Source organism: Homo sapiens, chromosome 2 (assembly GCF_000001405.40).
Source record: "Homo sapiens chromosome 2, GRCh38.p14 Primary Assembly".
Classification (NCBI taxonomy): Eukaryota; Metazoa; Chordata; class Mammalia; order Primates; family Hominidae; genus Homo; species Homo sapiens.
Genome location: NC_000002.12, coordinates 34,787,044 through 34,804,875, shown reverse-complemented (window position 1 = coordinate 34,804,875; position 17,832 = coordinate 34,787,044). Strand labels below are relative to the sequence as shown.

Sequence of the window (17,832 nt, the reverse complement as noted above, 5' to 3'; positions counted from 1 at the left end):
TATCACCTCCCTTCCTCACACCAGGTCCGGCTTACAGTTTTGTTCCACGACTAGCCCTCCCCCACCTGCCCAGCAATTTCCTCTTAAAAAGGTGGCTGAAGCTAAAGGCATAATCAAGGTTAATGCTCCTTTTTCTTTATCCGACCTCTCCCAAATCAGTTAGCTTTTAGGCTCTTTCAACAAATATGAAAAACCCAGCACAGTTCATGGCTCATTCGGCAGCAACTCTGAGACGCTTTACAGCCCTAGACCCTAAAAAGTCAAAAGGCCGTCTTATTCTCAATATACATTTTATTACCCAATCCGCTCCTGACATTAAATAAAACTCCAAAAATTAAATTCCGGCCCTCAAACCCCACAACAAGGCTTAATTAACCTCACCTTCAAGGTGTACAATAACAGAGTAGAGGCAACCAAGTAGCAATGTATTTCTAAGTTGCAATTCCTTACCTCCACTGTAAGACAAACCCCAGCCACATCTCCAGCACACAAGAACTCCAAATGCCCGAACCGCAGCTGCCAGAGGTTGCAGGACCCCACTGAAAATCAGACCGTTCAACTCACCTGGCAGCCACTCCCAGAGCCCCTGGAACTCTGGCCCAAGGCTCTCTGACTGAATCCTTCCCAGATCTTCTCGGCTTAGCAGCTGAAGACTGACACTGCCCGATCGCCTCAGAAGCCTACGAGACCATCACAGACACACTAGGTAACTCTCATAGTGGAAAGTAAGTCCACCCCCTTCTTAGTCAATACGTAGGCTACCCACTCCACATTACCTTCTTTTCAAAGGCCTATTTCCCTTGCCTCCATAACTGTTGTAGGTATTGACGGCCAGGCTTCTAAGCCTCTTAAAACTCCCCAGTTCTGGTGCCAACTTAGACAATACTCTTTTATGCACTCTTTTTTTTAGTTATCCCCACCTGCCCAGTTCCCTTATTAGGCCAAGACATTTTAACTAAATTATCTGCTTCCCTCACTATTCCTGGACTACAGCTGCATCTCATTGCTGCCCTTCTCCCCAACCCAAAGCCTCCTTTGCGTCTTCCTCTCATATCCCCCCAACTTAACCCACAAGTATAGGACATCTCTACTCCTTCCCTGGCAACTGATCACATGCCTATTACCATCCCATTAAAACCTCATCACCCTTACCCTGCTCATTGCCAATATCCCATCCCACAGCACGATTTAAAAGGAATAAAGCCTGTTATCACTCACCTGCTACAGCATAGGCTTCTAAAACCTATACACTCCCCTTATAATTCCCCTATTTCACCTGTCCTAAAACCAGACAAGGCTTATAGGTTAGTTCAAGATCTGCGCCTTATCAACCAAATTGTTTTGCCTATCCACCCCATGGTGCCAAACCCATATACTCTCCTATCCTCAACACCTCCCTCCACAATCCATTATTCTGTTTTAGATCTCAAACATGCTTTCTTTATTATTCATTTGCACCCTTCATCCCAGCCTCTCTTTGCTTTCACTTGGACTGACCCTGACACCCATCAGGCTCAGCAAATTACCTAGGCTGTATTGCCGCAAGTCTTCACAGACAGCCCCCATTACTTCAGTCAAGACCAAATGTCTTCCTCATCTGTTACCTATCTCGGCATAATTCTCATAAAAACACATGTGCTCTCCCTGCTGATCCTGTCTGGCTAATCTCCCAAACCCCAATCCCTTCTACAAAACAACTCCTTTCCTTTCTAGGCATGGTTAGTAAGGTCAGAGTTCTTAACAAGAGCCAGGACCGCACCCTGTAGGCTTTCTGCCCAAACAACTTGACCTTTCTGTTTTAGCCTAGGCCTCATGTCTGCGTGCAGTGGCTGCCACTGCTTTGACACTTTTAGAGGCCCTTAAAATCACAAACTATGCTCAACTCACTCTACCTTTCTCATAACTTCCAAAATCTATTTTCTTCCTCACACCTGACGCATATACTTTCTGCTCTCTGGCTCCTTCAGCTGTGCTCACTCTTTGTTGAGTCCCACAATTACCATTGTTCTTGGCCGGGACTTCAATCCGGCTTCCCACATTATTCCAGATACCACACCTGACCCTCATGAGTGCATCTCTCTGATCCACCTGACATTCACCCCATTTCCCCATATGTCCTTCTTCCCTGTTTCTCACCCTGATCACACTTGGTTTATTGATGGCAGTTCCAACTGGCCTAATTGCCACTCACCAGCAAAGGCAGGCTATGCTATAGTACTAGCCACTAGCCCGCCTCTTAAAACCTCTCATTTCCTTTCCATCGTGGAAATCTATCCTCAAAGAAATCACTTCTCAGTGTTCCATCTGCTATTCTACTACTCCTCAGGTATTATTTAGGCCCCTTCCCTTCCCTACACATCAAGCTCGAGGATTTGCCCCCACCCAGGACTGGCAAATTGGCTTTACTCAACATGCCCCAAGTCAGAAAACTAAAATACCTCTTAGTCTGGGTAGACACTTTCACTAGATGGGTAGAGGCCTTTCCTACAGGGTCTGACAAGGCCACCACGGTCATTTCTTCCCTTCTGTCAGACATAATTCCTTGGTTTGGCCTTCCCACCTCTATACAGTCTGATAACGGACCAGCCTTTATTAGTCAAATCAGCCAAGCATTTTTTTTGGCTCTTGGTATTCAGTGAAACCTTTATATCCTTTTCAGTCCTCAGTCTTCAAGAAAGGTAGAACGGACTAATGGTCTTTTAAAAACACACCTCACCAAGCTCAGCCACCAACTTAAAAAGGACCGCACAAGGCTTTCACAACTTTCCCTTCTCAGAATTCAGGCCTGTCCTTGGAATGCTACAGGGTACAATTTGAGCTCCTGTATGGATGCTCCTTTTTATTAAGCCCCAGTTTCATTCCAGACACCAGACCAACTTGGACTGTGCCCCAAAAAACTTGTTATCCCTACGGTCTTCTGTCTAGTCATACTCCTATTCACCATTCTCAACTACTCATACATGCCCTGCTCTTGTTTACTCTGCCGGTTTACACTGTTTCTCCAAGCCATCACAGCTGATAACTCCTGGTGCTATCCCCAAACTGCCACTCTTAACTCTTGAAGTAAATAAATAATCTTTGCTGGCAGGACTATGATGAATCTCCTTAAGCACTCTCTAATTAAATGTCCTAAGTCCTCCCAATTCTTAGACCTTTAACACCTGTTTTTCTCCTTCTCTTATTCCATTTAGTTTTTCAATTCATACAAAACTGTATCCAGGCCATCACCAATAATTCTACATGACAAATGTTTCTTCTAGCAGTCCCACAATATCACCCCTTACCACAAAATCTTCCTTCAGCTTAATCTCTCCCACTCTAGGTTCCCACGCCGCCCCTAATCCCGCTTGAAGCAGCCCTGAGAAATATTGCCCATTATCTCTCCATGCCATCCCCAAAAATTTTCGCCGTCCCGACACTTTACCACCACTTCGTTTTATTTTTCTTATTAATATAAGAAGACAGGAATGTCAGGCCTCTGAGCCCAAGCTAAGCCATCATATCCCCTGTGACCTGCACATACACATCCAGATGGCCGGTACCTGCCTTAACTGATGACATTCCACCACAAAAGAAATGAAAATGGCCTGTTCCTGCCTTAACTGATGACATTATCTCGTGAAATTCCTTCTCCTGGCTCATCCTGGCTCAGAAGCTCCCCTACTGAGCACCTTGTGACCCCCCACTCCTGCCCACCAGAGAACAACCCCCCTTTAACTGTAATTTTCCTTTACCTACCCAAATCTTATAAAACAGCCCCACCCCTATCGCCCTTCACTGACTCTTTTCGGACTCAGCCCGCCTGCACCCAGGTGAAATAAAGCTTTATTGCTCACACAAAACCTGTTTGGTGGTCTCTTCACACAGACGCGAGTGAAAGTATGCATGTCGTTGTTTCCATTTTTGAAAAGGTAACTGACCCCCACAAAGGTTAAACCACACCTCCAAAGTCCCATGAAGCCAAGGTATTAAACCCAGATCTTGGGATTTCAGAGCTCATGCTCTTGCTGCTACCCCATTAATGCTGCTTTATCAGATACTGAAAAGTTATTGTTCTTACCTCTGTCTAGCCCGTCAATCCTTTTGACACTGGCCTAATGACGCACTTACTGGCAAAGGTGGATGTCCCTGAGAATTTGTAAATATATTAAGCACATTTCTGCTATTGCAATATGGTTCTAAGCAGAGCAAAAAACTCATCTATTTTCACCCTGAATTGGATTCTTTCCCAACTGAAGGCTGATTATTTGAGGGCTTGAAGATTGATGTCAGGGTGTCCTCCTGAAAAAAGACTGAAGTAATTACAATTAAATATATGGTTGATGGTCTCATTCTTGCCTACATGTTTGCATCTCCACTTCCAAGATTTTCTTAAGCAGTTCCTCGGAAACATTTCAATCCCTGTTAATGCTTCTTTCAATTGAAATCTCTTCTTAAATCCTATATTGAAATGGATATATTGCACTCTACTGAGCAAAGTGGAGGATATTAAAAAATAAATAAGAATAGGACCTTCTGTTCAAAGAGTTACAATTTAGTGGAAGAGTTTCTTGTTCACAGTCACTAAACAATTTCCTTGGAATTCAGTTTCATATCATTCACATCTTATGCCTTCTTTCCAGAGCAAAACTCACCAATCTCATAAATAAATAATTTGTTATAATACATCAACCCTCTTTTGCAAGCTTACAATAATTTTTAACAAAAGCTCTCTGGAGACAATAACCCAAATGAACAATTCAAAAGAAGAAATTTCAGGGACTTCAGCACACTGTCTGTGGAAGTTTGGTGTAGATAGCTAATACCACAGCATCTTTCAAGTGGCATCCACCTATTTTTATCTACATGTATAACCAACCTTGATATGTAATATGTCATTCCCTGGCAATCAACTTACTTTAATTCAGAAAACCTGACCCACCTTCTGGATGAGACAATGGCATTATTTTAATATTCATCTTTTACTTATAACTTACCATTTTCTCTATCTTTACAAGGTGGTATTTCAGGAGGAAAGCAGTTATGTGGCCTGAATAACATTAGACTTTTCACATTATTAGTATTCAGGCTTTGGGTTAAGGAACAAAGTTGCCAGCAGACCTGAAGATGTGTTTAGAATACACTCAGTGTTAAGGGCCCTTTCAATGATTCAGCACAGTTACAATTTTTGCTTTTATTAAGCTAGAGGAATTGAAGAGGAAAGATGCCTGCTTTTTCTTTAGGGAGGAGGGAAGGTCTTAATATCTTAACCCAAAACCAAAATGATGAGAGTATGCAAATTTGCCCTTTTACAATATGAACCAAATTGTCTATCTCCACAGAAAGAAAGAAAAAATAGGGCATTCCCAAGGTCATGTTTCCCGAATGCTTTATTGTACAATGACAATTCAGTGACCTTTCTGAAATAAAGATATAATAAGATCAATCTGATTTGTTTAGTCACTGGTAATGTTATCATGGTCATACATACAAATCAATGAGGTGAAAAGAAGAAGAAAAGAAACATACTAGAGGCCAATTCAACTATTTAAAACAAACCATTGTCATGTCCATTTTAGTAAAGTTGATGTGAATATCTGAATAATCAATTTTTTCTTTTGACATTAATAATTGAAGTTTGATAACATTAATGATTGTAGTTTGATAATCTTCTGAAATGAAAATAATAAGATGGGAAAGGCAAATGTTTTCATGGCCTCTTTTGGAAGCTAATAATTTAGGAAGCACTTTGAAGATACTGGGACAGAGAATATATTGTATAAAGAGAAACCATGTGGATATTGGTGTTAATATTTTGGGAAAATTAGAAATACATATATGCTAGATTAGGACTACTTTTCAACTATTGTATATGGATATGGTTTAACTATCATTATGAGCAAGTATCAGAATAAAGAAGTTAAAAATACCTTAATAAAATATTCAGAAATAAGAATATTTGTGCCACAAACATTAACTTTAAATACTAAAATTTAGCAGTTTTTTTTCTAGTGAGACTTCAGGATTGTTTATCTTCTAGAAGGGTGTCTAGGAGTCCCTTTGGTTCAGAAATCACTTAAAACTATCACTTAACGACAGGATACATTCTGAAAAATGCATTATTGTGCTAACACCACAGAACGTACTTACACAAACATAGGTGTTATAGCCTACTACACACGTAGGCTGTCTTGTATGACCTATGGATCCTAGGTTACAAACTTGTACAGCATGTTCCTATACTGAATGTTGTAGGCGAATATAACATAATGGTATCTGTGTATCTAAACATATCTAAATATAGAAAAGGTAATGTTTTGCACTGCCATATTACCACAGCTACTAGGTAATAGAAAATTTTCAGCTCAATTATAATCTTATGGGGCTTCATTTAATATGTGGTCCATCATTGACCAAAATGACTTTATGATGTGCATGACTGAGTTGCAGAAAAGAGGGAGCATTTGCTGAAAATGTGATGTCAGAATGTTTACCTTATTATAAGAGCATAAGGGTCCATTTTGGTTTATGTATGCATGGCTCTAATTAAATATATATTTTCTACAACTAAAAATGGCCATTATTAATATTTTAATTTTATCCTTTATCCTTTGATCCTAGCTGAAATCCTATAATAAATTAATACATTTTTCATTTAACTGTAAATAACAACTATTTCCTTATCAATCAAGGTTTTAAGACAAATACAAAGAGATCTCAAATTTATGTTTTTCTTAAAGGACTGAGGAATAAAAGCTCACTCTCCATTTTGCTTTAGACTTAAGCAGCATCCTTGATCCTAGTTACCAGAAGCTGATAGGAGGTCATTACCATCCCTGAACTTTCAACAAATAGAACTGCAAGAGTTCGGAAAATGTAAGAAAGAAACCGGGGAGAAATCCAAAAGCATATCCTAGTAAAATACATTCCTGTAGTAAAAGACCTATTTTGGTTTGCACTTCAGATATCAGAAACTGGTTTAGAAATTGTTCAGCTGAATAAAATGAAAACAATCTCATTCTCTACTTCTTGTAAATGAAAGCTGCATTTGAGTGGGTGCATCTGTCATGTGCTGTGACAGGAATTTTTATAAATATGATTTATTAATTTAATTCCCAAACAACCCATATAAATGAGAATATTATTCCTAATGCTAATCTGGCTCCCAATAGCTAATAATAATAATAGCAACCATGTTAATACTTGCCACTTAAGTACTAAATCAGGTACTTAATATGTGTTTGGAATGTATAATCTCATTTAAAAATTCTTCTCAAAGCTATATATCATGGAGGTATATATTTATTACTATTTTACAGAAAACAGAGGCTCAGAAACACAGCTACTAGATAGAATAAAATGTCAGAATTCAAGCTCAGGTCTGTCTGTTGTCAACATCTGTACTTTCCTTTCTAAAGCATCCTGGTGCATAACTGTCCTGGAAAGTCAACAGAGTAGGCAAAGTCTACAAGCCTGGATGGGAATTCTGTGTGAAAAATAGAGATCAATGAGCCTGCCTGAAATCCTGCTCCCCTAGCATGATCGCTTTTCATTTTTTTACCTTGGCTTTTGATCCTCACAAAAATTCTAATTTTAATATGAATTACCTTAAAACACAAATAATTGTAACAAGCAACAGTTAGAGGTGGGAAGAGGCCGATAATTGTAATCGACAGGAAGCTAAAAGAACCCCATGAAAAGTAACCAGCAAGGGGACATTAAAAGTGAATATGGGCACCAGAAAGAAGGCCATCAGAAACATAATTGTCTACTTTGTTTTGGCTTAGTCTCGTGCTGTGTTTGTGTGTGTGTGTGTGTATGTGTGTGTGGTGTGTGTGTAGATAAAATAAGTGAAATGGAGCCCTCCAAGCATTATTTAGATAGACAAATTCACACAGCATATAAAATAAATAATTATTTATTTTGCCTCGAGATATTTCCAAGAGGCCATTTGCATGAATCTCATTTATTGGCTAATCAATCATGTCCTTCCCACTTTGCCTGGATGAGCACAGTCTGCAGCTCAGCAACTGATGTGCCACGCTGAAGACAGTGCAGGTAATAAGAAACCACCATGTGAGATTCTTTTATGGGTTGTTCATGCTACAAAGACACCAGCAGAAGTTGATTTTTCTTTCCTTTATTTTCAAGTTAACATCTTTCTTTTCTTGCCATCACATTTTTGTTGGTCTTGCCTTACAGTTCCTTGTATCTGCCAACATTTGGCTGTGCCAAGTAAATTTATTGTTCTCCCTGCTATTCATTTTATTCTCTATTTCCTTGATATTTTCAGACAAAAATTTTTTTTAATCAAAAAACGTATTTCTGGGTTTCACTTCTGTTGATTTCAAAGATAACTGCCATGCATTTTATTCTCAAACTTGCAGAACTGTATATATCAGTAATTTTAAAAGTTAGTCTCACATAAAAAGCTTTTATACATTTATTTTTCCTTGAGTAATATTGGTAGTATATATATAAAACATCAATAATCTATCTACCAACCTACAAATATGTGTATATAGTATATGTATATATAAGCACAGAATTATCTTTATATATAACACAAATGTATATATACTATATATGTATGCATATATATATAATGTGTGTATATATATACACAATTGTAAGATAGTATAATAAATAACTTAGAACTGAAAATAAACGTTTAATGAAATTTTGCTTGCAAAGCCCCACATGCGATAATACTAGGTAGAAATTTTTTTTGAGTACACATTATGTATGTCCATTTTAGAAAAGATGTGGTATGAAGTTGCAAAGAAACAACATTAAGGAAAAACACAATTTGAAGCAAAGATTTGTTGCTTTTATTGCTTTCACTTGCGTCCCTGTGAAGAGACCACCAAACAGGGTTTGTGTGCGCAATAAAGCTTTTTAATCACCTGGGTGCAGGCAGGCTGAGTCCAAAAAGAGAGTCAGTGAAGGGAGATAAGGGTAGGGCGCTTTTATAAGATTTGGGTAGGTAAAGGAAAATTACAGTCAAAGGGGGGTTGTTCTCTGGCAGGCAGGAGTGGGGCTGACAAGGTGCTCAGTAGGGGAGCTTTTGAGCCAGGATGAGCCAGGAGAAGGAATTTCACAAGATAACGTCATCACTTAAGGCAAGGACCGGCCATTTTCACTTCTTTTGTGGTGGAATGTCATAAGTTAAGGCAAGGAACAGTCCATCTGGATGAGTAGGAGCAGGTCACAGGGGATATGATGGCTTAGCTTGGGCTCAGAGGCCTGACATTCCGGTCTTATATTAATAAGAAAAATAAAACAAAATAGTGTTGAAGTGTTGGGGCGGTGAAAATTTTGGGGGTGGTATGGAGAGATAATGGGCGATGTTTCTCAGGGTTGCTTCTAGTGGGATTAGGGGTGGCGTGGGAACCTAGAGTGGGAGAGATTAAGCTGAAGGAAGATTTTGTGGTAAGGGGTGATATTGCGGGGTTGTTAGAAGGAACACTTGTCGTGTAGAATTATTGGTGATGGCCTGGATATGGTTTTGTATGAATCAATAAACTAAATGGAATAAGAGGAGAAAAACAGGTATTAAAGGACTAAGAATTGGGAGGATCTAAGACATCTAATTAGAGAGTGTCCAAGGGGCGTCAGTGTAATTACTTGCTTGGTTGGCAAGTTTTTAGACTCTATCCTTGAGTTTTTTATGTTGTTATACACCAGGCCAGATTGATTTAGGTAAAAACAACACTCTTCATTTAAGAATATACAGAGTCCTCCATTTTCAGCAGTAAGTCAAGGCCTTGGCGGTTTTGGAGGACAACTGCAGCTAAAGAGTCACCTTGGGCCTGGAGGACTGATAAAGTTTGTGATATGTCTGTGATGCTAGCAGAGAAATCATTAGAGAGGCTATGGAAGGTCCTGACAGAGGTTGAAATGCCTGCTATTCCAGTACCGAGAGCAATAGTGGAGGCAGAAAGTCTTAAACTGACAAGCAAGGGAATTAGTGGAATAACTCTTTTTTGGCGTATCGGTGTCATGAGGGGAAGAGGGAGCTCTTCAGTCCTATTTGCAAATTGAATTTTGGGAGTAAGTAAAACTAGTGTGCATGTACCTGCCTAATTAGCAGGTAGACACATGTAGGTAGAGGATCCACAGAGGAAGAAGAGACCTTGTGCGAGGCAAACCTGGAGATGCAAAGTAAAAAGATGAGAAGGAGTGCTGAAAGGGGTGTCTTGTACCTAGAGTTCCTAGGGATCCAGCTAGGGCGGCAGCCATCAGAGGGTGTAATGGGGACCGATGAGGTTACTGCTTAGAAGGGAAGGATCGATTTTCATGGTGTATGAGAAAACATAGGTGCAACCTTTCACTGTTATTTTCAGGGCTGGGTACAAGTAAACAAGAAGAGAGCTATGGAGATGAAGAGTAAAGGAACATCGAGAAGGTGAAAGGTTACCTAGGGGGATTGCAGTGGGTCTTTGATGAAAGATACATAAAGGAGCAGCCACAGGAATAATAGTTTGTGTTGTGAGAGGTCTAAATATGGGGGGAGTAGAGTGGATATAAGGAGAAAGGTTTTTTAATTAAGTGCGGAGGAGGGCGGCTGCTTGCTGATGTGAAATGTCTGGGGAGGTCTTGCTGGACCTGTCTAGAAAGTAAATGAGTTCTTCAGGAGGGTAAAGGTGAGGGCTATTAAAGGAAGTTCAGAGGTGTAGGGAGACAGGAGATGTTGTCTAGTCTGCATGTAAGGCGGGGACAGCTGTGTAAGCTCTGGAAGAAAGGGAAATGCAAAGCTAGTGGTTGTTCACTAAGGAAGGATTAGAAATGGCTAGGAGAGAATGAGTAAGGTTGATGGTGTGGTGGAGATGGCGGGGGAGAGGTAGAGGGTGGCATAAGAATGGGAATGAGAATAAGAGTGACTATAAATGTAAAGAATAGAACTTCATCAGGGTGAAAGTATTGGAAGGTCCCCTGCCAGCAAAGATCATCTATCCACTCTAAGAGGGAGTTAAGAGTTGCCAGTCCTGGGTGAGGGCAAATCCACCAGCTTTGCAGGGAAGGGAGGGGGCCTGAATAATCCCTGAGGAGTAGTAGAATAGCACATGGAACACTGAGAAGTTATTTCCTTGAGGATAGATTTCTAGGATGGAAAGGAAATGAGAAGTTCTAAGAGACGGGCTGGTGGCTTGTACTATAGCATAGCCTGCCTTTGCTGGTGTGTGGTGATTAGGCCTGGTGGAACTACTATCAATAAACCAAGTGTGTTCAGGGTGAGGAACAGGAAAGAAGGGGAAATGGGGTAAATGTCAGGTGGATCAGAGAGATACAGTCATGGGGGTCAGGTGTGGTATCCAGAATACTGTGGGAGGCCAGATTGAAGTCTGGACCAGGAACAATGGTAATCGTGGGAGACTCAACAAAGAGTGAGTACAGCTGAAGGAGCCAGGAGCAGAAAGTATAAGTGTCAGGTGTGAGGAAGAAAATAGATTTTGGAAGTTAGGAGAACTGTAGAGAGTAAGTTGAGCATAGTTTGTGATTTTTGGGGCTTCTAAAAGTATTAAAGCAGTGGCAGCCGCTGCATGCAGACATGAGGGCTAGGCTAAAATAGTAAGGTCAAGTTGTTTGGACAGAAAGGCTACAGGGCGTGGTCCTGGCTCTTGTGTAAGAATTCTGACTGCATTAACCATGCCTAGGAAGGAAAGGAGTTGCTGTTTTGTAGAAGGGATTGAGGTTTGGGAGATTAGCGGGACACAATCAGCAGGGAGAGCACGTGTGTTTTTATGAGAATTATGCCGAGATAGGTAACAGATGAGGATGAAATTTGGGCTTGACTGAAGTAATGGGAGCTGTCTGTAAAGCCTTGCGGCAGTACAGCCCAGGTAATTTGCTGAGCCTGATGGGTGTCAGGGTCAGTCCAAGTGAAAGCAAAGAGAGGCTCAGATGAAGAGTGCAAAGGAATAGTAAAGAAAGCATGTTTGAGATCCAGAATAGAATACTGGGTTGTGGAGGGAGGTATTGAGGCTAGGAGAGTATATGGGTTTGGCACCATGGGGTGGATAGGCAAAACAATTTGGATGATAAGGCGCAGAGCCTGAACTAACCTGTAAGCCTTGTCTGGTTTTAGGACATCTGAGATGGGGGAATTGTAAGGGGAGTTTATAGGTTTTAAACGGCCATGCTATAGCAGGCGAGTGATAACAGATTTTAATCCTTTTAAATTATGCTGTGGGATGGGATATTGGCATTGAGCGGGGTAAGAGTGATTAGGTTTCAGTGGGATGGTAAGGGGTGCATGATCGGTCACTAACGAGGGAGTAGAGGTGTCTTATACTTGTGGGTTAAGGTGGGGAGATACAAGGGGGAGAATATGAAGGAGGCTTTGAACTGGGGGAAAAGGCAGCAATGAGGTGTGGCTGTAGCCCAGGAATAGTCAGGGAAGCAAACAATTTAGTTAAAGTGTCTTGGCCTAACAAGGGAACTGGGCAGGTGGAGATAACTAAAAAGGAGTGCTTAAAAGAGTTTTGTCTAAGTTGGCACCAGAATTGGGGAGTTTTAAGAGGTTTAGAAGCCTGGCCATCCATACCCACAATAGTTATGGAGGCAAGGGAAACAGACCCTTGAAAAGAAGGTAATGTGGAGTGGGTAGCCTCCGTATTGATTAAGGGGACGGACTTACCTTCTGCTGTGAGAGATACCCGAAGCTTGGCGTCCGTGATGGTTTAGGGGGCTTCTGAGGCGAACTGGCAGCGTCAGTCTTCAGCCGCTAAGCCAAGAAGATCTGGGAAGGAGTCAGAGAGCCTTGGGCCAGAGTTCCAGGGGCTCTGGGAGTGGCTGCCAGGTGAGTTGAAGAGTCCGATTTTCATTGGGGTTCCGCACAGACGGGACGCAGCTTAGGAGGAATCCCAGGCTGCGGGCATTCCTTGGCCCAGTGGCCAGATTTCCAGCACTTGTAGCAAGCTCCTGGGGGAGGAGGTTCTGGAGGAATGCCTGGCCGCTATGGTTCAGGCGTTTGGAAGTTCTTGTGTGCTGGAGATGTGGCTGGGGTTTGTCTCACAGTGGAGACAAGGAATTGCAACTTTTTTCTGTTACTGTACACCTTGAAGGCGATGTTAATTAAGTCCTGTTGTGGGGTTTGAGGGTCAGAATTTAATTTTTGGAGCTTTATTTAAAGTCGGGAGCGAATTGGGTAATAAAATGTACATTGAGAATAAGACGGCCTTTTGACCTTTTAGGGTCTAGGGCTGTAAAGCATCTCAGGGTGGCTGCCAAATGAGCCATGAACTGGGCTGGGTTTTTCATATTTGAAGAAAAAGAGCCTAAACGCTAACTGATTTGGGAGAGGTCAGATAAAGAAAAAGGAGCATTAACTTTGACTATGCCTTTAGCTCCAGCCATCTTTTTAAGAGGAAATTCCTGGGTAGGTGGGGGAGGGCTAGTCACAGAACGAAACTGTAAGCCGGACCCGGTGTGAGGAGGGGAAGTGATTAAAAGATTATAGGGTGGAGGTGGGGAGGCTGAGGAAGAATTGGGACCTAGCTCAGCCTGGCAAGGAGCAGCCTGGGGAGGAGGGGAGAGGTCAGATGGGTCTGCAGAAAAGGAAGATTAGAAAAACTCAGCGACACTTGGGGTTGGGACTGAGGGGACAGGCAAGAGGGAAAGAAGGAGGATTTGGGACGAGTCGCATTGGGAACAGAGGCTAGGGAGGGACCAATGTGTAAAAGAATGCCTGGACATCAGGCACCTCAGACTGTTTGCCTATTTTACGACAAGAATTATTTAGATCTTGTAGGATGGAAAAATCGAAAGTGCCATTTTCTGGCTATTTGGAACTGCTGTTGAGTTTGTACTGGGGTCAAGCAGCATTGCAGAAGAAAATAAGGCATTTAGGTTTAGGTCAGGTGTGAGTTGAAGTGGTTTTAAGTTCTTGACAACAGAGGCTAAGGGGGAAGAGGGAGGAATGGAGGGTGGAAGGTTGCCCATAGTGAAGGAGGCAAGCCCAGTAAAAAGAGAGAGTAGAGACACGGAGAGAAGGGGTTGGGGGGTTCTTGCCCTCCAGAAAAGTGGAGAAGGGGTAGAGAAATGGAGACAAGGGGCTGGGGGGGATTCTTGCCCCCCAGAAAAGCGGTACTTGCTGCTAAGGGTGAAGGAGAAGAGGTTGGGGGGTTCTTGCCCCCCAGAAAAGCAGAGAAGGGGTAGAGACACGAAGAGAAGGGATTGGGGGCTTATTGCCCCCTAGAAAAGTGGTACTTACCACTAAGGGTGAAGGACCAAGGCAGGTGTCCCTGCGTGGTCAGACACCTCTGAAACGTGGATGAATAATCAGGCAGGCATCCCCGCGTGATTAAACACCAAGGGAAGACTGTCTTCCCGAGTCTGTGACCAGCACCGGAGTTTTGTGTCTACGGATAAAATGCGTCTCCTTCGTCTCTACCAGGAAAGGAAAGGAACTGAAATTAAGAGAAGGGAGAGATTGAAGTGTGGCACCAAAACTGAAAGAAGAAAGAGGTTGAGGGATAGTGAGAGAGTTTGAAGAAGAGAGTAAAAAGAGGTCGCTTACCGGATTTAAAATTGGTGAGATGTTCCTTGGGCTGGTTGGTCTGAGGACCAGAGGTCGTAGGTGGATCTTCCTCACGAAACAAAGAGCAGGAGGACAGGGGATTGATCTCCTAAGGGAGGTTCCCCGATCCGAGTCACGGCACCAAATTTCACTGGCATCCCTGTGAAGAGACCACCAAACAGGCTTTGTGTGAGCAATAAAGCTTTTTAATCACCTGGGTACAGGCAGGCTGAGTCCGAAATGAATCAGTGAAGGAAGATAAGGATAGGGCTGTTTTATAAGATTTGGGTAGGTAAAGGAAAATTACAGTCAAAGGGGGGTTGTTCTCTGGGGGGAGGAGCAGGGGTCACAAGGTGCTCAGTAGGGGAGCTTTTGAGGCAGGATGAGCCAGGAGAAGGAATTTCACAAGATAATGTCATCACTTAAGGCAAGGAACGGCCATTTTCACTTCTTTTGTGGTGGAATGTCATCAGTTAAGGCAAGGAACAGGCCATCTGGATGTTTAGGAGCAGGTCACAGGGGATATGATGGCTTAGCTTGGGCTCAGAGGCCTGACAATTGCCATTTGGCGTTGTTGTTTTAAACTGAGTCTCCACTAAAGTAGCTTAGATGAATGCATTAGCCAAGGTTCTTCAGAGTAGGACATATACATATAGATTTAAATATTAATATAGATATAGTTATATATGTATTTATTTATAAATAAGAATATTTTTATAAGGAATTGGCTGATGTGATTATGGAGGCCAAGAAGAAACAAGATCTGCAGTTGGCAAACTGCAGACCCAGGAGAGTTAATTGTATAATTCTTGTCTGCTTCCAAAGTCGTAAGAACGTGAAGAGCTGACGGTGTAAATTCTAGTCCATGTGTAAAAGACCAATGTCCCAGATCATTTTGTCAGGCAGATAAAGTTCCCTCTTACTCAGCCTTTTTGTTCTATTCAGTTCTTCAGTTGATTGGATAAGGGCTACACACACAGGGAAGACAATCTCTTTTACTGCTTTCATGGGTCGATCAATCCAAATGCTAATCTTATCCAAAAACACTCTCAGGGAAACACCCAGAATAATGTTTGACCAAATGTCTGGCCACTCCCTGGGTGGCCCAGTCAAATTGACACATAAAATTAACTATTACAGAAGGCAAAATATTTCCAGAGGAACTAAAGTATATAAAGAAAGAAAAAAGTAATCTGAACTGTATTATCTTGAAAGCTTGGGGGTAATAATGTCACTATCAAAGGCATTTTTTATTTTGTTCTTGTTAAAGAAACTAGCAACTATTTAAAAAAAATTTCCAAGCATTTATTGTGTAGAGGGATACTTGCGGTAGAAACATGAATATAACACAGCTCTCTCTTTCAGGGAACTCACAACCTAATATATGTGGTAAAATGTGGCTCTTGGGGCCATCTATGGCAAAGTTCCTGAAATCTGGTGAAAATGCAGATTTCTGGGTGTCACTACAGGCCTATTGAACCAGAAAGTAGGAGATATTGTGCATCTGAAAGGAAAATGAATACTTCATTTTCAGGAATCATCAGTTTTGTAGGGTTACCATATAGATCAATAACCACCATACCACATGATGGAGTTTCTGAGGTGGCAACATAGAAGTGCATGTAACTAACTTTGCTTAAACTGGCAAATTATACAAAATGTGTGCAGAAAAAGACATCTAATATCTAATTCATTGATGATCTCACCATGATTAAATCAATCATCAAAGCCTAAATGCCCCCTAGAGTATGTGGTCACAGAGTCATAAACAGTCAAAAAGAATCTCTCTTGTCTTTATCCATGTCAGTCCTGTTTTACTGTAATATCTGTACAGTTTCATTTTTTCATTTAAATCTCTAACCCATTTGGACTTGAAGTTTATTATTGTATATTGAATGGGGAAATAATATTTTTCTGCAGTACTATTTGTAATTACATAATATAACTAACTTTCTAAATGTTCAAACTAGATTTGTTGCATAAACTATAGTACATAGACACAATAAAGTAATAGGCAGCTATAAAAACTGAACCATCTATAAACTGATATGGAATGGTATCTAAAAGATACTGAGCAAAAAAAACTTTAAGTTATGTATATGTGTATATTTATATGTATACACAAACCACACATTTATGTATATACATGACTTGAATGAAATTCAGAATCAGAATGTTTCAACTTAGTGGTAAAATACAAGCATATGTTTCACTGTTGAAGTAGCTGAGACTCAGAATCAGGTAACGTCCTGACCCCAGGGTACAGATCAAGTCAGAAAAAATATCTCCCACAACCCAATACTAAAGGGCTTGGAATGAACATAAAGAATGCTAGCATGTGTCATCGGGTGCGGTGGCTCATGCCTGTAATCCCAGCACGTTGGGAGGCCAAGGCGGGTGGATCACGAGGTCAGGAGATCGAGACCATCCTGGCTAACATGGTGAAACCCTGTCTCTACTAAAAATACAAAAAATTAGCCGGGCATGGTGGCGGTCACCTGTAGTCCCAGCTACTCAGGAGGCTGAGGCAGGAGAATGGCATGAGCCCAGGAGGCAGAGCTTGCAGTGAGCTGAGATTGTGCCACTGCACTCCAGCCTCGGCGACAGAGCGAGACTCCCAAAAAAAAAAAAAAAAAAGAATGCTTCCATGTGTCCTACTGGAATGAATATTAACTACAGTGTCTTTATTGTGCTGAAACTCCAGAAGAAGGTGCTCTGCCATACAGTCCCCATTGCCTTTGCAATAAACTGACTTACTCCATAAGTTATCTCCTCCCTCCACTGTTTTCAGAGAATAAACCAGGGAAGTGATTCTGAAAGGCAGGTGGGAATGAGTCCCACAGGCTTCCTCACCTGAAAACTATGAGAAGCAGGATCACCATCACAACATTCTTCTCTGGTAAGTCATTTATTATTCTACATGTTAGGTCCAGTTATAAGATTTTGCACCTTACTTGAATTTAGAGATAAAATTGGAAATCAGAGAACTGTTGGAGTTGCTGAACCCAGCTCCCAGTTGTAAAGGAAGGTGTATTGATTACTCCCTTGGATACACACATAAAATTATTCAGAGTACATCATAAATTAGTTTCTGAAAACTCTCAAACACTCAGTGTAATGAAATTCACAAAAGGTAGAACTTGTCTCATTTTTAGTATGTAGTAAAGGGAAGAAGAATAAATGAAGCCACACAAAACATTAAGAGATAATATTAACTCATTCGCCATAGGTGTGATTATAGTAGTTTATTAGAACTTCATTCATCCCAGCATGTTAAAAATGTCTTTCTTATTGACTCTATAGTTCCATATCCAGAATTAGTTTTCTGTTAA

General features: G+C 41.3%; 1 annotated feature.

Moving 5' to 3' along the window:
• Window positions 14,641–15,198: an enhancer, noted in NCBI's record as "NANOG hESC enhancer chr2:35014745-35015302 (GRCh37/hg19 assembly coordinates)". NCBI's record gives its function as "activates a minimal SCP1, AML or CMV promoter by ChIP-STARR-seq in naive H9 embryonic stem cells {active_cell/tissue: H9 hESC(naive)}" and the evidence as "EXISTENCE:reporter gene assay evidence [ECO:0000049][PMID:30033119]".